The 20,445-nt window shown below is 47.4% G+C and overlaps 1 long non-coding RNA gene across 2 annotated transcripts, besides 4 other annotated features; it reads left to right on the top strand.

The window, feature by feature from the left end:
- Positions 386–1,099: an enhancer, noted in NCBI's record as "OCT4-NANOG-H3K27ac hESC enhancer chr18:54739483-54740196 (GRCh37/hg19 assembly coordinates)". NCBI's record gives its function as "activates a minimal SCP1, AML or CMV promoter by ChIP-STARR-seq in naive H9 embryonic stem cells {active_cell/tissue: H9 hESC(naive)}" and the evidence as "EXISTENCE:reporter gene assay evidence [ECO:0000049][PMID:30033119]".
- Positions 1,100–1,813: an enhancer, noted in NCBI's record as "OCT4-NANOG-H3K27ac hESC enhancer chr18:54738769-54739482 (GRCh37/hg19 assembly coordinates)". NCBI's record gives its function as "activates a minimal SCP1, AML or CMV promoter by ChIP-STARR-seq in naive H9 embryonic stem cells {active_cell/tissue: H9 hESC(naive)}" and the evidence as "EXISTENCE:reporter gene assay evidence [ECO:0000049][PMID:30033119]".
- On the top strand, positions 1,232–18,792 carry LINC-ROR (long intergenic non-protein coding RNA, regulator of reprogramming). 2 transcript variants are annotated; one of them, NR_152602.1, is made up of 5 exons: positions 1,232–1,447; positions 3,348–3,541; positions 16,665–16,720; positions 16,822–16,950; positions 17,110–18,792. It is a non-coding gene; the product is annotated as a long intergenic non-protein coding RNA, regulator of reprogramming (long non-coding RNA). The 2 variants fall into 2 exon arrangements; NR_048536.2 differs by lacking the exons at positions 16,665–16,720; positions 16,822–16,950 and adding an exon at positions 15,351–15,851 and having other exon boundaries at positions 17,101–18,792.
- Positions 8,138–8,673: an enhancer, noted in NCBI's record as "OCT4-NANOG-H3K27ac hESC enhancer chr18:54731909-54732444 (GRCh37/hg19 assembly coordinates)". NCBI's record gives its function as "activates a minimal SCP1, AML or CMV promoter by ChIP-STARR-seq in naive H9 embryonic stem cells {active_cell/tissue: H9 hESC(naive)}" and the evidence as "EXISTENCE:reporter gene assay evidence [ECO:0000049][PMID:30033119]".
- Positions 10,772–11,661: an enhancer, noted in NCBI's record as "H3K27ac-H3K4me1 hESC enhancer chr18:54728921-54729810 (GRCh37/hg19 assembly coordinates)". NCBI's record gives its function as "activates a minimal SCP1, AML or CMV promoter by ChIP-STARR-seq in naive H9 embryonic stem cells {active_cell/tissue: H9 hESC(naive)}" and the evidence as "EXISTENCE:reporter gene assay evidence [ECO:0000049][PMID:30033119]".
- Positions 18,793–20,445: the final 1,653 nt, after the last annotated feature.

The following is a 20,445-nucleotide window of genomic DNA, read 5'->3' as shown; positions in this document are numbered from 1 at the left end:
GCCCATGTGATCTTTTCGGAAAGGCAGAGCTGTTCAACTGGTCAATAATCACAGACCGGAATTCAGGACACTCCAATGGAACATGACATGAGTCAGCTCAATTCCCTCATCCTCAGCTTCCTCATCCAGGAGGTAAGAGGACAGGGCGAAGGCATTCCCATGCCCCTGTGCAACTCCAGAGTTTTGTGATTTCAGGATTCATAGTCAGAGGGCCCAACAGAAATTGGTGACTGCCCCACACACTTTTATTAACTGGAGGCAGAAGAGTATCATTTGCTTCTTCGATTCCTCCATAGTGCCCAGCATAGTGCTTCCCTGTGCTCAATAGATATCTGCTGACTGATCCACTGGTCAGATCCCAGGTCTCATGACTCCCAGATCCCTGCTCATTTAATTTCAAAAAGATCAATCAATCAATCAATCAATATATTTTCTACAGTGCTGCAGTGCCATTGTGCAGATCAGAAGAAGGTCGGCACCAGCCAAATAGCATTCCCATATTCCCATATCAATCCAACAGGCAGATAAAGACCACACACACACACATATGCACACACATACATGCACACACATATTAATACACAGGCATGCACACACGCACATACATGCACACATAAGCACATGCACACACATGACCATAATACAAGTGCACACACACGCATATGAACACTCATGCACACATACACATATGCACACATATGGACACACAGAAATGCACACACACATATGTACAGACACTTAGGAGGATATAGTGGCTCGGTCACGATGCAGAACCCTCATTTCTAGGAGTCCACCTCATAAGCACAAATCCTTTGGTGGACTCACAGGATAATTTCCCTAAGGGGCTTTGTCAGGCCTCTGAGCCCAAGCCAAGCCATTGCATCCCCTGTGACTTGCATGTACATGCCCAGATGGCCTGAAGTAACTGAAGAATCACAAAAGAAGTGAAAATGCCCTGCCCCGCCTTAACTGATGACATTCCACCACAAAAGAAGTGTAAATGGCTGGTCCTTCCCTTAAGTGATGACATTACCTTGTGAAAGTCCTTTTCCTGGCTCATCCTGGCTCAAAAAGCACCCCCACTGAGCACCTTGCGACCCCCACTCCTGCCCACCAGAGAACAAACCCCCTTTGACTGTAATTTTCCTTTACCTGCCCAAATCTTATAAAACAGCCCCACCCCTATCTCCCTTCGCTGACTGTCTTTTTGGACTCAGCCCGCCTGCACCCAGGTGAAATAAACAGCCATGTTGCTCACACAAAGCCTGTTTGGTGGTCTCTTCACACGGACGCTCATGAAATTTGGTGATGTGACTCGGATAGGGGGACCTCCCTTGGGAGATCAGTACCCTGTCCTCCTGCTCTTTGCTCCGTGAGAAAGATCCACCTACAACCTCAGGTCCTTAGACCAACCAGCCCAAGAAACATCTCACCAATTTCAAATCCAGTAAGTGGCCTCTTTTTACTCTCTTTTCCAACCTCCCTCACTATCCCTCAACCTCTTTCTCCTTTCAATCTTGGCGCCACACTTCAATATCTCTCCCTTCTCTTAATTTCAATTCCTTTCATTTTCTGGTAGAGACAAAGGAGACACGTTTTATCCGTGGACCCAAAACTCTGGCGCTGGTCACGGACTAGGGAAGGCAGCCTTCCCTTGGTGTTTAATCATTGCAGGGAAGCCTCTCTGATTATTCTTCCAGGTTTCAGAGGTGTCAGACCATGCAGGGACGCCTGCCTTGGTCCTTCACCCTTAGCGGCAAGTCCCGCTTTTCTGGGGAAGGGACAAGTACCCCAACCACTTCTCTCTGTGTCTCTACCCCTTCTCTGCCTTTCTGGGGGGCAAGAAACCCCCAACCCCTTCTCCTTCACTCTTAGTGGCAAGTCCCGCTTTTTTAGAGGAGGGCAAGTACCCCAACCTCGTATCTCTGTGCCCCAATCCCTTATTTCCACACCCCAACCTCTTATATCTCTGCCCCCCAATCCCTTATTTCCACGCACTGACCTCTTATCTCTGCACCCCAATCCCTTATTTCCGTGCCCCGACCTCTTATATCTCTGCACCCCGATCCCTTATTTCCACACCCCAACCTCTTATTTCTCTGTGCCCTGATCCCTTATTTCTGCACCCCAACCTTGTATCTCTGTGCCCTGACCCCTTTCCTGCTTTTCTGGAGGGTAAGAACCCCCAAACCGCTTCCCTCCGTGTCTCTACTCTCCCTTTTCTTTAAACTTGCCTCCTTCACTATGGGCAAAATTCCACCCTCCGTTCCTCCTTCTTTTCCTTTGGCCTGTGTTCTTAAGAACTTAAAACCTCTTCAACTCTCACCTGACCTAAAATCTAAGTGTCTTATTTTCTTCTGCAATGCCGCTTGACCCCAATACAAACTCGACAGTAGTTCCAAATAGCCGGAAAACAGCACTTTCAATTTTTCCATCCTGCAAGATCTAAATAATTCTTGTCGTAAAATGGGCAAATGGTCTGAGGTGCCTGATGTCCAGGCATTCTTTTACACATTGGTCCCTCCCTAGTCTCTGTGCCCAGTGCAACTTGTCCCAAATCTTCCTTTTTACCCTCCCACCTGTCCCCTCAGTCCCAACCCCAAGCGTCGCTGAGTCTTTCTAATATTCCTTTTCTACAGACCCATCTGACCTCTCCCCTCCTCCCCAGGCTGCTCCTCGCCAGGCCGAGCTAGGTCCCAATTCTTCCTCAGCCTCTGCTCCTCCACCCTATAATCCTTTTATCACCTCCCCTCCTCACACCCGGTCCGGCTTACAGTTTCATTCCGTGACTAGCCCTCCCCCACCTGCCCAGCAATTTACTCTTAAAAAGGTGGCTGGAGAGCTAAAGGCATAGTCAAGGTTAATGCTCCTTTTTCTTTATCCCAAATCAGATAGCATTTAGGCTCTTTTTCATCAAATATAAAAATCCAGCCCAATTCATGACTCGTTCAGCAGCAACCCTGAGACACTTTACAGCCCTAGACCCTAAAAGGTCAAAAGGCCGTCTTATTCTCAAAATACATTTTATTACCCAATCTGCTCCTGACATTAAATAAAACTCCAAAAATTAAATTCCAGCCCTCAAACCCCACAACAGGATTTAATTAACCTCGCCTTCAAGGTGTACAATAATAGAGAAAAGTTGCAATTCCTTGCCTCCACTGTGAGACGAATCCCAGCCACATCTCCAGCACACAAGAACTTCCAAATGCCTGAACTGCAGCAGCCAGGCGTTCCTCCAGAACCTCCTCCCCCAGGAGCTTGCTACAAGTGCCAGAAATCTGGCCACCAGGCCAAGGAATGCCTGCAGCCCAGGATTCCTCCTAAGCCGTGTCCCATCTGTGCAGGACCCCACTGGAAATCGGACTGTCCAACTCACCTGACAGCCACTCCCACAGCCGCTGGAACTCTGGCCCAAGGCTCTCTGACTCCTTCCCAGATCTTCTTGGCTTAGCGGCTGAAGACTGACGCTGCCCGATCGCCTCGGAAGCCCCCTAGACCATCACGGACGCCGAGCTTCGGGTAACTCTCACAGTGGAAGGTAAGTCCGTCCTCTTCTTAATCAATATGGAGGCTACCCACTCCACATTACCTTCTTTTCAAGGGCCTGTTTCCCTTGCCTCCATAACTGTTGTGGGTATTGACAGCCAGGTTGCTAAACCTCTTAAAACTCCCCAACTCTCGTGCCAACTTAGACAATACTCTTTTAAGCACTCCTTTTAGTTATCCCCACCTGCCCAGTTCCCTTATTAGGCCGAGACACTTTAACTAAATTATCTGCTTCCCTGACTATTCCTGGATTATAGCTACATCTCATTGCTGCCTTCCTTCCCAATCCAAAGCCTCCTTTGTGTCCTCCTCTTGTATTCCCCCACCTTAACCCACAAGTATAAGATACCTCTACTCCCTCCTTGGTGACCAATCATGCACCCCTTACCATCTCATTAAAACCTAATCACCCTTACCCTGCTCAACGCCAATATCCCATCCCACAGCATGCTTTGAAAGGATTAAAGCCTGTTATCACTCGCCTGCTACAGCATGGTCTTTTATAGCCTATAAACTCTCCTTATCATTCCCCCATTTTACCTGTCCTAAAACCAGACAAGCCTTACAAGTTAGTTCAGGATCTATGCTTTATCAACCAAATTGTTTTGCCTATCCACCCCATGGTGCCAAACCCATATACTCTCCTATACTCAATACCTCCCTCCACAACCCATTATTCTGTTCTGGATCTCAAACATGCTTTCTTTACTATTCCTTTGCACCCATCATCCCAGCCTCTCCTCGCTTTCACTTGGACTGACCCTGACACCCATCAGGCTCAGCAAATTACCTGGGCTGTACTGCCGCAAAGCTTCACAGGCAGCCCCCATTACTTCAGTCAAGCCTAAATTTCTTCCTTAACTGTTACCTATCTCAGCATAATTCTCATAAAAACACACGTGCTCTCCCTGCTGATCGAGTCCAATTAATCTCCCAAACCTCAATCCCTTACAAAACCACTCCTTTCCTTCCTAGGCATGGTTAGTGCAGTCAGAATTCTTACACAAGAGCCAGGACCGCACCCTGTAGCCTTTCTGTCCACACAACTTGACCTTACTGTTTTAGCCTAGCCATCATGTCTCCGTGTAGCAGCTGCTGCTGCCCTAATACTTTCAGAGGCCCTCAAAATCACAAACTATCTTCAACTTACTCTTTACATTTCTCATAACTTCCAGAATCGATGTTCTTCCTCATACCTGACGCATATACTTTCTGCTCCCTGGCTCCTTCAGCTGTACTCACTCTTTGTTAAGTCCCACAATTACCATTGTTCCTGGCCCGGACTTCAATCCGGCCTCCCACATTATTCCTGTTACCACAGCTGACCCCCATGACTGTATCTCTCTGATCCACCTGACGTTCACTCCATTTCCCCACATTTCCTTCTTCCCTGTTTCTCACCCTGATCACGCTTGATTTATTGATGGCAGTTCCACCAGGCCTAATCGCCACACACCAGCAAAAGCAGGCTATGCTATAGTACAAGCCTCTAGCCCGTCTCTTAGAACCTCTCATTTCCTTTCCATCATGGAAATCTATCCTCAAGGAGATCACTTCTCAGTGTTCCATCTGCTATTCTACTAGCCCCTCAGGGATTGTTCAGGTCCCCTCCATTTCCTACACATCAAGCTCGAAGATTTGTCCCTGCCCAGGACTGGCAAATTGACTTTACTTACATGCCCCGAGTCAGATAACTAAAATACCTCTTAGTCTAGGGTAGACATTTCCACTGGATAGGTAGAGTCCTTTCCTACAGGGTCTGAGAAGGCCACCGTGGTCATTTATTTCCTTCTGTCAGACAGAATTCCTTGGTTGGCCTTCTCACCTCTATACAGTCTGATAACAGACCAACCTTTTCTAGTCAAATCACCCAAGCAGTTTCTCAGGCTCTTGATATTCAGTGGGACCTTCATATCCCTTACCATCCTCAATCTTCAAGAAAAGTAGAACGGACTAATGGTCTTTTAAAGACACACCTCACCAAGCTCAGCCTCCAACTTAAAAAGGATTGGACAGTGCTTTTACCTCTTGCCCTTCTCAGAATTAGAGCCTGTCCTCGAGATGCTACAGGGTACAGTCCATTTGAACTTCTATATGGACGCACTTTCTTGCTTGGCCCCAACCTCATCTCAGACACCAGCCCTCTAGGTGACTATCTTCCAGTCCTCCAACAGGCTAGACAGGAAATTCGCCAGGCTGCTAATCTTCACTTGCCTACTCCAGATCCCCAGCCATATGAAGACACCCTAGCTGGATGATCAGTTCTTATTAAGAATCTGACCCCTCAAACTCTACAACCTGGATGGACCGGACCCTACGTAGTCATCTATAGTACCCCAACTGCCGTCCGCCTGCAGGATCCTCCCCACTGGGTTCACCATTCCAGAATAAAGCTGTGTCCATCGGACAGCCAACCTAATCCCTCCTCTTCCTCCTGGAAGTCACAAGTACTCTCCCCTACTTCCCTTAAACTCACTCGTATTTCTGAAGAACAGTAATAACCCTTATAAGCCTAACCATCCCTTCATTCTATTAGGTCTGTTCGTCCTTACCCTACTTTTTGCAACAGGGCTTTATGAAGTCACCCCACCACTTAGGCTGAGCCCCAAAAACCTTGTCATCCCTACTATTTTCTGTCTAGTCTTACTCCTATTCTCTGTTCTCAACTACTTATAAATGCCCTACTCTTGTTTACACTGCTGGTTTACACTGTTTCTTCAAGCCATCACAGCTGATATCTCTTGGTGCTATCCCCAAACTGCCACTCTTAATTCCCTCTCAGAGTGGGTAGATGATCTTTGCTGGCAGGGCACCCTCCAATACTTCCACCCTGATGAAGTTCTATTCTTTACTTTTATACTCACTCTTATTCTCATTCCCATTCTCATGCCACCCTTTACCTCTCCCCAGCTATCTCCACCACACTATCAACCTTACCCATTCTCTCCTAGCAGCTTCTAATCCCTCCTTAGTGACCAACTGCTGGCTTTGCATTTCCCTTTCTTCCAGTGCCTACATAGCTGTCCCCGCCTTACAGACAGACTGGGCAACATCTCCTGTCTCCTTACACCTCCGAACTTCCTTTAACAGCCCTCACCTTTACCCTCCTAAAGAACTCATTTACTTTCTAGACAGGTCCAGCAAGACTTCCCCAGACATTTCACATCAGCAAGCTGCCGCCCTCCTCCGCACTTATTTAAAAAACCTTTCTCTTTATACTCTACTCCCCCCATATTTGGACCTCTCACAACACAAACTACTATTCCTGTGGCCGCTCCTTTATGTATCTCTCGGCAAAGACCCACTGGAATTCCCCTAGGTAATATTTTACCTTCTCGATGTTCCTTTACTCTTCATCTCCGAAGCCCAACTACACACATCACTGAAACAATTGGAGCCTTCCAGCTCCATATTACAGACAAGCCCTCTATCAATACTGACAAACTTAAAAACATTAGCAGTAATTATTGCTTAGGAACACACTTACGCTGTATTTCACTCCATCCTTGGCTACCTTCCACTTGCTCATCAGACTCTCCTCCCAAGTCCTCTTCTTGTTTACTTATACCCAGTCCCGAAAATAACAGTGAAAGGTTGCTCGTGGATAGTCAACGTTTTCTCATACACCATGAAAATCGAACCTCCTCCTCTATGCAGTTACCCCATCAGTCCCCATTACAACCTCTGACGGCTGCCGCCCTAGCTGGATCCCTAGGAGTCTGGGTACAAGACACCCCTTTCAGCACTCCTCACCTTTTTACTTTACATCTCCAGTTTTGCCTTGCACAAGGTCTCTTCTTCCTCTGTGGATCCTCTACCTACATGTGTCTACCTGCTAATTGGACAGGCACATGCACACTAGTTTTCCTTACCCCCAAAATTCAATTTGCAAATGGGACCGAAGAGCTCCCTGTTCCCCTCATGACACCGACATGACAAAAAAGAGTTATTCCACTAATTCCCTTGATGGTTGGTTTAGGACTTTCTGCCTCCACTATTGCTCTCGGTACTGGAATAGCAGGCATTTCAACCTCTGTCACGACCTTCCGTAGCCTGTCTAATGACTTCTCTGCTAGCATCACAGACATATCACAAACTTTATCAGTCCTCCAGGCCCAAGTTGACTCTTTAGCTGCAGTTGTCCTCCAAAACTGCCGAGGCCTTGACTTACTCACTGTTGAAAAAGGAGGATTCTGTATATTCTTAAATGAAGAGTGTTGTTTTTACCTAAATCAATCTGGCCTGGTGTATGACAACATAAAAAAACTCAAGGATAGAGCCCAAAAACTTGCCAACCAAGCAAGTAATTACACTGAATCCCCTTGGGCACTCTCTAATTGGATGTCCTGGGTCCTCCCAATTCTTAGTTCTTTAATACCCATTTTTCTCCTTCTTTTATTCGGACCTCGTATCTTCCATTTAGTTTCTCAATTCATCCAAAACCGTATCCAGGCCATCACCAATCATTCTATATGACAAATGTTTCTTCTAACAACCCCACAATATCACCCCTTACCACAAGATCTCCCTTCAGCTTAATCTCTCCCACTCTAGGTTCCCATGCCGCCCCAATCCCGCTCGAAGCAGCCCTGAGAAACATCGCCCATTCTCTCTCTCCACACCACCCCCCAAAAATTTTCGCTGCCCCAACACTTCAACACTATTTTGTTTCATTTTTCTTATTAATATAAGAAGGCAGGAATGTCAGGCCTCTGAGCCCAAGCCAAGCCATCGCATCCCCTGTGACTTGCACGCATATGCCCAGATGGCCTGAAGTAACTGAAGAATCACAAAAGAAGTGAAAATGCCCTGCCCCGCCTTAACTGATGACATTCCACCACAAAAGAAGTGTAAATGGCCGGTCCTTCCCTTAAGTGATGACATTACCTTGTGAAAGTCCTTTTCCTGGCTCATCCTGGCTCAAAAAGCACCCCCACTGAGCCCTTGCGACCCCCCACTCCTGCCCACCAGAGAACAAACCCCCTTTGACTGTAATTTTCCTTTACCTGCCCAAATCTTATAAAACAGCCCCACCCCTATCTCCCTTCGCTGACTGTCTTTTTGGACTCAGCCCGCCTGCACCCAGGTGAAATAAACAGCCATGTTGCTCACACAAAGCCTGTTTGGTGGTCTCTTCACACGGACGCGCATGAAAGGCTTTCCCTAATGTCAAAGATTTGGAGGAAAATCACCCAAGATGGCTCCAAGAACCACACACATCCAAGCAAGCCAACTGGAAGTGCAGACACCCCTGCAGACACGACCGTGTCCTCATCTGTGTTCCAGTCATTGGGACTACGAGAGCTCTCAGGAAGATGAACAAGAAACAACATCTAAATAAGTAATAGTGGTAGGGCAATTGGAGCCTCCTCATTCTCCAGCTTCCTCCCCCAGAGCTCATCGCCTGACCCCCAACTTTCCCCATTTTCCAAGTCAGTGCACTTGGTGGGGGCCCATCAGGCCAGTGCTCCCTGATCACATCCCGTCGTTGCTTGGCCAGGGAACTGTTGTCAATTTAGAGAAGGTGGAATTCATTTCTTTACATTCACATCCGATCTTATCAAAGGGGCTGCCATGAGGGGCAGAGCTGCTGGTTTTGTTCTTTCAGCTTCCTCTCTCCCCCTTCCCCCACTCTGTGGGTCTCTCTCCCTCTCCCCCTTAGCCTCCAAGCCTGAGTCAGAGATCTCCTCTCTGAAGTTAATGGCTGTAAGAAGATTTCATTTTATTATATCTTCAACAGTCCTGTTATTTTAAATTTGCCTTTGACAAACTCAGAGCCCTGGAATCACCATTTAGGAAACAAAGCTTAACCGGGAGCTTTTAAGAAGGGTATTTTCCCTTCCATTTTAGCAGGCTAGTAAAAATCAATAATGCTGTGTTCCCATCTGTAGACCACCTGACATCTCATGAATGGTCAATGGAGCCTGCTCTGACTGCAGAAGCCACTGAGAGATGCACTGGCCAGCCTGGCATGCAAGCTGGACACTCGCCTTGCCTTTCTGCCAATTTCAGGGCTTCACTCACCCCAGAAGGTGCTCCTGGGTGCCTTCCTTGGGAGGAAGGCTGGGTTTTTCCTGACAGAGTTTACAGTGGCCAAATTGAGGATGGGAAAATTGTGGGATGGGGAAGAGAGATGTTATCTGAGCTCAGAGATGATCAAACCCTTTGTCCCCCAAAGGATTCGTTAAATAGGACAAGCCTAGGATGGGGATTTGGAGGGTATTATTCCAGTGCAATTAGCCATGAGCTCCAGGAGGCAAGAAGCTGTCAATTGGTCCTCACTGATGCCAAAAGGTTTGGGACCCCAAACCCTGCCCGGATGCTTGTCAACCCCTTGATAGGCTGAAGCAGGGGCAACAGCAAAACTCAGCCCTGGTGCAGGACACAACGCCCTCTGCCTCCATGTGTGCCCCAAGGCATGCGCTTCTCCCACTGCCCAGAGGCATCTAAATGTGTCCTTGCAGGACAGCCAGTGTGGCCTTTCCCACAGCACATGTACAGAAACAAATGTGACTTCCAAACAATGGAGCCAAAATTTAGAAGCCACTGTGACTGCAGGACCCATGAGAAACAGGACTCCGTGGAAAACAGCCAAGACAAGGCAGGGAACCATGAAACAGCCAACCCCCCTCGCACCACCCTGAGGCCTTTTCAAAGACACAGACTGAAACATATTGTCACTCCTAAGCCAAGTTTAACTTCTAAAGAAATCTTTTCAAGATGTTCAAAGCGCCAAATGCAGTTTAGCTCTAAGCACTACCATCTGCCACTGCAGGCAAGCCCATCCCGTAATCCCTGGCTCGGGCAGAGGCCCGCGGAGCAGGGTTGCCTGCTGTGCCCACTGGAGAATGCACATTGGGTAGCGAGTGACAAAGGGCCCGCTGGGGCTCTGCCGGCTCCTGGGCAGCGGCACATGGGGTGCAGCAGGGTGTGGAAGCAGTTGAGGAGACAGCACATCTGTGCAGACATAGCACACCTGGGCTGAAGCCAGGTCTCAAAGTGACACCCAGAGCCCCTGTAGTCATTGTGAGTAGGGAGGGAAAACTCAAGGTCCACTAGCGAAGCTTGGAATTCCTTTGCCTCTAGAATCTCAGGTGCAAATAAATGGACACATATTTGATTTCCAAATGGAAACTCATCTTGCATTGGTTTTTGTTTCTCTCTTTTTTTTTCTGTTTATTTTTTTCTGTTCTGGAAAATGCCATCATGAGTTGGCATGAAATTAAACAGCTGCCCATTTTAATGGGAGAACTAATACTCTTTGTGAGCTATGCCTCATCCACCATCTCAACTCCAACTTTGTATATCCTGAGTGCAGGAAATTCAAGACAGGCCAGAAGGTCTGTTACACTGCGGCCAGGAGCACAGCACTGGCACATCACAGAGACTCAGAGCCAGAGAAGGAAGAGATGCAGGGGCCAGGGCCCCTCTCAGTGGAGGGTGAAGGGGCTCAGGGGTGAACTCAGGGTTAAGGGAGATCGGGGAGGCCCAAAGGATCAGAGTGGAGTGGAAGGAGGCGAAGTTAGCCAGGAAACAAGATGACCACGAGGACCTCAGATGTGCCCTCATCCTCTGAAATCCCCTGGAGCCCTCAGACCCAGAAACAGGAGATTGGCTTGGTTTGGGGTTGGGGTTTCGTTTTTATTTTCTCTGGTGCCTGACCGGAGTCTGGGTGATAGCCTTTAAAACACCTTGAAATCTGTAGCCACCACTTCAGCCAAACGCCCAGCCCGCCATGAAAGCATCTAGAAGCACAGCGAAATGGCGCACAAGGAGGCTCCAAATTCTTCCTCCCTTCACCTTTCCCTTTCCTGCAGGCCCCCTTGCACCCACTCCATCCCTGACCCTGCTCAGGGTTAGTAAACCTGGGGCTCTAGGTGGTGGCCCCAGCAGGCCCAGCTCCCTGGGGGCCATGTGTCCATCTGTGAACTGTGCAAAGGGCCTGTGGGGAACATACTGCTCCCATGGGCTGGGGAGAAATTTCTGGGAGTGTGTTTCTTGTCCCAACAATTGGTAGAGGAGATACCAGTGGCATTTAGAGGATGAAGACTGGAACCGCTGAAGATCCAGACCCCTGAGTTCCAATCACAGTTCTAGCACTGATTGGCTGTGTAAACTTCTCTGGCCTCAGTTTCCTCATCTGTAAAATGGCAATAATAACCATGCCTACCTCCCAAGATTGTTGTGCACATGCTGTGAATCAACCTTTACAAAGCCCCTAGAACAAGGCCTAAAACTTACAAATATCAGTGATCATTTTCCTGAAATCTAAGGGACAGAATAAATAATCGTCCCGTGCTCTATGTGACTTTCAGATGTTCCACTAAACATTGGAATAGATTGAAAAACATCTTTATAGTGATCTGAGCTTGAAATGTAACTCTTTTTCATATATAAACATAAAAAATTTAAAAGGTTTTAACATACAACGGGTCTTCCAGGATTGCAATCACTATATTGGATCGGACACAGCATATTCATCTCCTCAGATTCTCTTCGCTGCACCTTGCCACCTGGGCTTTCAGCTTTCTGCTCCACCTGAGTCTCAACAAGGCATCCTCATTCCACCACCTAAGCCCCACCAGCCATGTGCCCTTGTGCCGTGAATCTCAGAATGCTTCTGTTGCTTCTAGCATCACATAACAGGCCACGCTCAAGGAGGTGTGATCTGGCTTCCTGCTCAGTTGCCAAGGGACCAGATAACATAACCCAGAAGTACAGGAGAGTCAATTCCCCATGGAATGAACTTTGGCCATTGGGTATCAGGATTCCCACTTTCTTCCTTCTCCCTGGGGACTGTTCTAAAGTTTGATTTCTCTGTACAAGCTGGCTGGGGACTTCCCGTGTGGCCGAGCGTACACACCCTCCTCACAGCATGTCTTGAAGCAGCGGCTGTCCAGCAGCGCATAAGTTTGTGTGGCTTTCCACCTTCACTGCCACGCTTCCTTGTCTTTCATGCTTGCTGCCCTGGGATTGTACCTCCTAGAGAAAGCATCACCACTTTACCCCAGCCTCATGCTGCATTCCAGGAAACGGGCTCACATTTCTCTACAGAGGGGAGCTTGCACTGTGTCTTTACCGAGAGTTGTTTGCCATTTCAGAAAAATCACAAAATCAGTCAGGTGCAGCGGCTCACACCTGTAATCCCAGCACTTTGAGAGGCTGAGGTGGGTGGATCACTTGAGGTCAGGAGTTCGAGACCAGCCTGGCCAAAATGATGAAACCCCATCTCTACCAAAAATACAAAAATCAGCTGGTCATGGTGGTGCCTGTCTGTAATCCCAGCTACTTGGAAGGCTGAGGCAGGAGAAACGCTTGAACCCGGGAGGCAGAGGTTGCAGAGAGCCGAGATCACACCACTGCACTCCAGCCTGGGCAACAGAGTGAGACTCCCTCTCAAAGAAAAAAAAAAAAGAAAAATCACGTAATCAACAGCAACAACACTTAAGGTATTGAAGTCACAAATACAATACAACCTACCTCCATCAGTCTGTGTGTATAGCTGTGGCATTCATTTGAGTACAGTTGTGCCTGTGTATTTACTTATTGAACTACTTTATTATAAATGACTTTCGTTTTATTTCTCCCTATATTACAGGTAGGGCATTACATCGATTTTTTATTATGGATAAAGGCAGGTTATATTATCTATAAATGCTATATCAGGATAGTAAAGAGGTCATTACAAAATATTTGTCATGTAAAGAGGAGACTGAGTTGACAATGCTGAGAAGCCATGGTGGAGGAGAAAGAGCCCCAGACTGGCCCTAGGCCATTGGCCTGCTGTGTCGTAGTGGATAAGACATTGGTCTCCATGGGCATTGGTTTCTCCTCCACAAAATGAAGAGGTGGAATGACATGCTCCCTTGAGTCCCCTGCAGTTCTACCACCCAGAGGTTTAGTTTCCAGAGCTGTTATCTGCTGCTATTTTTCTATGCTTCCACTAAGCTGTTTCCTCTGTTGTCAGAACCCATCCGAGACTGGCAGGCAGTGAGTGGACACCCACCTAAGTTAGATTTCACTCCAAAATTATAGGTACACCATAGGGCCCTGCTGGCTGCCATCCTGGGCCACCTGGGTCACCTGCCCTGAGTGTAGATGTCTGCCTGCACTGTGTAAGTCAGCCCACCTGTCACATCACAGTGTCGGGCCCCTCCTGGGTCTCCGCGTGCTTCCTGACCTTGCCACACTCACTGTGTCCTGCTTCCAGGGCTGGCAGCTGCCTGGGAACTTTGCCCCAGCTCTGTCTCTGTCCCTCCAGGCAATACCTCCTGATCCTCTCCCAGGCCCAACTGTCAGGGAAGGCAAGGGCCGAAGCCCAAGTCCCATGGCAGGAACTGGAAGTCGTTACCTGGAAGGCAGATGCTTTGAGAGCCAGGCCACTGCCCTTGAGCTTTCCTAGGGTGCTGGAGGGGAGGTTCTTTTTCCTTCCTGAGAAACTCTAAGTCTGGGTCAGTAAATTACAGCTTGTGAGACAGTTGCGTAGTAGTTGGACATGTAATGTCCCAGTTCTAATGACATGAACATTAGCATTTACTAAGCTTCTGAACTCTTCCAGTGTGAATCTTCACAACGGAATCTTCACAACATCTCTGCAAGGTGGATAATTATTAGCTCGATTTCATAGTGGGAAAATCAAGGCTCAGATGAACCTTCCTCAAGTCCTGGTAAACAAGGAGCGGAGGCAGGGCTTAAACCCGGCTGCTGTGGCTCCAAATCCTCACCTTTTGCTCCCACTCTGGTGCCTCTCACCCTGCTAGCTAAAGACAGTTCCACCAGATGACCCAGGAGAGCAGGCGCTGGGACAAGGAAGCAGCTGTGACCTGGCCCAAAGGCAGTGCTTTTCTTTGCATAGCATTTTTTAAATTTAAAAAGCACAGTGCATACCAGTTGATGCCCCAGCCCTCCCTCCCAGGTAGATTTTGAAATCCTCTAGATGTGGAAAAATCTAAACATATTGTGCTATTTACAGAGTAAACAAGGGGAGTTGAGGATTTCATAAGCATGTTCTCCACTTTTTTTTCCCTTTTCCTCTTCCATCTTGGGAGTAGAAGAAAACAGATTCGGTTTACCTGAGACTCAACTTCAATCCCTTGGACAGAAGAGTGCTATGCTAGGTGCCAGGTTAGTGGGGGTTGGAAGTACAGATTTGGGGTTTGGGGCAGAAAAGAGTCAGCTGTGGGTTAAAGTGGAGTGGACCAGCTCCCCCGGGGCATGATTCTGGCACCTTCGTCTCTGGCAGGGTGGAGGGGGGTCCTGGGTACTTAGCAGCTCTGAGCTTTCAAGTCCTCTCATATAAAATGAGGACAGCTGGCCCCGCCTCAGGGGATGCTAGAGAATTCAGTGAGACCATGGGTGTCAAGGGCTTCACTTGTGGAAGGATGCTACATCCCTCCTCACCCTCAGAAGGCTCCAAAAAGATGTGCACAGGAAGGCAAGGGAGTGGTCGCCAGGACTTCAGAGGACACGGTGACTGGGACCTGGATGGGCGGTAAAGGAGACGGGGTGGCAGGAGACCACACACAGAACAGACTGGGAAAATGGGGTGGCAGACGGTGGTGCAGGGCCATGGAGATTTGTGGGCAGCCTTCAATGGAGTGTGTGCTTGGGGCACGCCTGGGGCATTTCTGATTCTTCTTCCTCTTCCAGCCCAAAAATATCGTCAGAGTGTCAGGGTGGGTCTTCCCCCTGTGGTTTCCACCACCTTGTGCCAACTCAAATGATGGGAATGATGTCATTTAACAGACCTAGTGTGACCAAGACTGCGATCTGTCCCTCAGTATCTGTTCTCTTCTTATCAGAAACACAACTACAGATTTCTACCTGGTGCATGGCCATCGCTCATGAAGACTACAACTTCCAGCTTCCTTTGAAGAAAAAGAGGACTTGATGGCATTGTCGCTAAGTAAGAAATAATGTGTGTGACTTCAGGGTTGCCCCCTTAAAGGGAGGGGACATTTTCCATCCTGCTGTTCAGAGTATGGATGTGATGAGAGACATCTTGGATGATGCAGAGGAGGTGAACACCCCAGGACAATGAAACCACAGGAGAGAAAGAGCCTGCGCTGGCCCATCTAGCACAGCCACTGGACACAGGGACCACCTGCCTCTGCACTCTTATGGAAGGAGGAAATCTAACTTTCCCAGTTTAAGGCACTGTTACTTTGGGCTCCTGTTACATAACTGTGGCAGAATGAAGGTTCAACATGGAAACTGGCAATGTTGAAGAAACATAAAGTTCATTGCTTGAATATCTGAAGTTGTGGACTCAATCTCATACCTGCTCCACTTATGAGTTATAGGTGAGTAGTGTGCTCACTAAACTTCAGCTGCACACTCAACAGCATTAGCCAAGAGGGAAATGCAAATCAAAAACACAATAAGATGCCAGTTCCCACCCAGTTGAATGGTTATAACTTTTTTAAAAAGAAAAAAAATAAGTGTAAATGAGAATGTGGGTAAAGCAGAATACTCATGCACCACTGGTGGGAATGTGAAATGGTGCAGCCCCTTTGGAAAACAGTTTGGTCTGGCAGTTTCTCAAAAAGTTAAACATAGGGTTCCCATATGACCCTGCAACTTTGCTCCTAGGTATACACCCAAGAGAGTTGAAAACATGGTCCCACAGAGAAACTTGGACACAAGTGTTCACAGCAGCACTATTCCTATTAGATAGCAGTAGAAATAACCTAAATGTCCATCAACCGATAAAGAGATAAAATGTTGTCTATCCATACTATGGAATATTATTCAGTCATAAAAAGGAAGGGAGTTCTGATACATGCTACAGCATACATGAACCTTGCAGACATGATGCTAACTGGGCTCCATTTATATGAAGTGTCTGGACTAGGCAACTCTGTAGAGATGGACAGTAGATTAGTGGTTTCCAAGGGGCTGAGGACAGGGGTATCAGTGGCAGGGGGAATTGGGAGTGTCTGCTAACAAGTACAGCTTTTTTTGGGGGCTGACGAATATATTCTGGAACTAGATAATGGTGATGGTTGTACAACATTGTAAATATAGTGAAAACCACTGAATTGTGCACTTTAAAATGGTGGGAATTTTTGTTTTTTGTTTTTGTTTTTGAGACTGGGTCTCACTCTGTCATCTAGGCTGGAGTGCAGTGGTACAATCATGGCACACTGCAGCCTCAACCTCATGGGCTCAGGTGATCCTCCTGCCTCAGCCTCTCAAGCAGCTGAGACTACAGGTGAGTGCCAGCATGCCTGGCTAATTTTTGTTATTATTATTATTATTATTATTTTGTAGAGAGGGGGTTTTGCCATGTTTCCCAGGCTGGTCTCGAACTCCTGGGCTCAAGTGATCCGCCCAGCTCAGCCTCCCAAAGTGCTAGGATTACAAGCATGAGCCACTGCACCCAGCCAAAAGCCCAAAATGGTAGGTTATGTGTTATGTGAAATTTGTCTCATAGCAAAATTGTCACACAAAGGAAAAGCACCATGTTCCCCATCGCCCTCTCCTTCTGCACACAGCATTACCACATCTAGCTTGATACCCCAGCAAACATCTCTATTGATGGCATTTCAGTTCTTCCAGGTCTCAGGAATGGGATCAGCAGGTCTCAGGGTTGTACTCTCCTGGATCTCTCACCAGCCACCTCAAACCAGCTGCCATAGCCTGTCCACTTCCACTCCAATCTTCTCTTCCTTCATCACCTCCCTTGCACACCCTGATAACCTCGAAAGAGAACTCTTCCCAAGGCTCTGTTCCAAACACATCGCCACTCTGCTTAGAACCTTCAATGACTCCTCATGGCCTAGGAGGTTTCTCTCCCATCTGGATCCAGCTGACGTTCCCAGCACCTTCTCCTGACTCCTGTCTTTTCTTGAACCAGTTCTGCCCAACAAGGAGGAAAGGGCTGACAGAGTGAAAGTCCCAGGGCATGTGGGAATGTGACTCTTTTCACTTTAAATTCTATGACTGGAAAGTTTTGGGCAGAGTTGGACATGTGCACTTAGCTTCCAGAAGACAGAATCCTTTTAAAAGAGTCAGAGAAAACACTGGCTTCCTGCCATGACATGAGATACAGACAGGAGAGTTGGGAAGCTTTTTAAAGATGGCACTATGACTACAATCACAGAAACTCTCCATGAGGAAGTAAAAGAAAGCACCTGCAACACTCCAGCTATGCAGACCACTCTGTAATGGGCTCAGATCTGGACAGGTGTGTGGAAAGGTGGGTCAACAGGTCAGGCGTCACAGACTTGGAACATTCATGGTGGAAAAGAAAAAGCCCCAAAGAAGAGACTTCAGGATAAATGAGAAAATACTCAAGACAGCAAAAGTCTCTTTTAGAAATGTTGGAGAAAGAACACTTAATGTCAGGAGTTACTGTTGATTGATGGCCTTACTGTGTAGCAGGTGAGAAACCCATTGTTCAGTTCCCTAAAGTCACCCTATTCTCCCAATCATCCTATGGAGGGGGAACCATGATGGTTATCCCCATCTTATAAATAAAGCAACAGAGGCTTAGAAGGACGAACTCTTTTTCTCAAGGTTACCCAGATCATTTTGCAGAAGTCCCTAGATTTGAATCATGCTCTTGCTTTGAGGTTAAAGACACAGGGGAAGTCGAACTCCTTATCTCCTATATCCTGAATAGGGAAAACCAAACATTGTCAAGAGGAGAGGAAGCCTGAGAGTTGGCATGAATCAGAGTGCTGGGCAGTCTGGAGTCTTCCCCACTGAGTTGATGATGGAACAGTAGAGTGGGGCCTGAGCCCCGTTAGGGCATGAGCTGCTGAATGATTCATGTGAACACCATGCACATGGGAGTGAGGTTTTGAGCAGTGTGCCACAGGAGCCTACCCTCAGGCCCCACCATAAAATGTAGGGCCAGTCCTACATTTTATCAATGACTTGCGTGAACACAGAAAATGTGGATACAACCAAAAGGTAACAATCCAATTAAAAAATGGACAAAAAACTTGAATAAACATTTCTCAAAAGAAGATATACAAATGATCAAAAAGCATATGAAAAAATGCTCAACATCGCTAATTGTAAGAGAAATGCAAATCAAAACTATAATGAGATACCACCTTATATTGATTAGGAAGACTGCTATAAAAATAGTAAACAAACAAACAAACAAAGTAAGTCTTGGGGAGGATGCAGAGAAATTAAAATTTTTGTGCACTGTTAGTGGGAATGTAAAATGGTGCAGCTGTTACGGGAAACGGTATGACAGTTCCTCAAAAAATAAAATGTAGAAACAGCATATGTTCTAGCAATTCTATTTCTGGATAACATACCCAAACGAATTAAAAACAGGGTCTCAAAGAGAGATCCGTACACCCATGTTCATAGCAGCATGATTCACCCTGGCAAAAGGAGAAAGTAGCCCCAGTGTCCATTGTGAATGAGTAGATAAACAAAATGTGGCACATACACAGAATTAAATATTATTCAGCCTTTTAAAGGAAGGAAATCCTGACACATGGTACAACATGGATGAACCCTGAGGACTTTATGCTAAGTGGAATAAACCAGTCTCACTAAAGAGCAAATACCATAGGATTCCACTTATGTGAGGTACATAGAGTAGTCACATTCATAGAAATAGAAAGTAGAATGGCAGTTGCCAGGGGTCAGGGGAAAAAGTTTAAGGAGAAAGCCCCTTTGGGGGAACAAGATGGTGCCTGGAAAATAGAGGTTATAAAACCTGTATTCCAACCCTCAGTGGGCTCAAATCTTTCTGCATGGAGCCAGGTTTTCCCCATCTGATTCTTCATGAAGTTCCCACCCACCCCCTCATCTCCTGCACAGACAGAGAGCAGCCTGGATTTACTGTGACAGGGTGCAGAGGGGGTTCTTTGCAGCTGCCTTTTGGGGTGGGGCCACAGCTGGTTGTTCTTGAACCCTAAGTAAGTCTTGGGATAAAACTGTTGCAAATGAAGCTATTAAGAACCCTGGTTAGTTCAATAAGGGCTTTTGAATAACAAAACAAAAAAAAGTAGGATTCTTAAATCAGCATCATCAGCTCTGTGTATTCCTGGAGCTTGAGGGGTTCCTGCCAAAGAAGCCGAACTAAGGAGGCTTGGGAGAGGCTCCAGGGCCTTTCTGGGGTGCTTCAGAATGTGGCAGAGGTTGCTTCTCAGCAGGTTTAAAGAGTGATGATTTTACTTACAATCGGGGCTTTGTGGGAAGTTTAGATATTGCTTACAAGTTTCCAGAATGTGGTTTATTTAAAACCAGAATTTGCAGAGGACCCACTAGTCCAAGTTTCTGTGCTAATAAAGCCTGATTTGCAAAGATGGTCAGGGCAGTCACGGCAGAGTCTGCGGGGCCACCAAGACCCAACAGGCTCGGACTCAGCGTCCTCTCCTTGCTGTCTCCAAAGCAGAGCACTTACTCCTGAACAACTCTGCCCGTCAGCTGTTTGTCAAAACCAAGGCAACAATTAAAACAATCCAGAAAGCAAATTCTGGGCACCAGGAAAGCCCCATAGCAAATAGGGTTGGCCCTGGCACCAATCTGTGGGTGTGGGACATCAGAGTGCCTACCAGGTGGAGTTGGGGGATTCGAGCAGTTTCCACACTGAGAGAAGTGGGGATGGCTGGGCCTGAACCAGCTGGGGAGGGCTGCCCATCCTGCTGGGTGTCCTGTCCCAGACCCTTTCAGATGCTGCCAGGACATGGAGGGTGACAGAGCAGCTGAGTCAGATTGCAAGGGGTTCAAATGCAGAATCCTGGGCCTCCCAGGCCCACCGAATGGGACCCTGGAGCAGTATGGCTGGAGTGTGCATGGCTAGGAAGCCGGGTTTCTGACACACCTCCAGTGGATCTGGGCGCACTCCAGTTTGAGACCATCCTCTGGGTGACAGCCCTGCTGCAGGGGTCAAAGGGTGATGGATGAATCAATTTTATTGAC

Source organism: Homo sapiens, chromosome 18 (assembly GCF_000001405.40).
Source record: "Homo sapiens chromosome 18, GRCh38.p14 Primary Assembly".
Taxonomy (NCBI): domain Eukaryota; kingdom Metazoa; phylum Chordata; class Mammalia; order Primates; family Hominidae; genus Homo; species Homo sapiens.
Note: the sequence above shows the minus strand (reverse complement) of the source record. Positions and strands in the feature narration are given on the sequence as shown.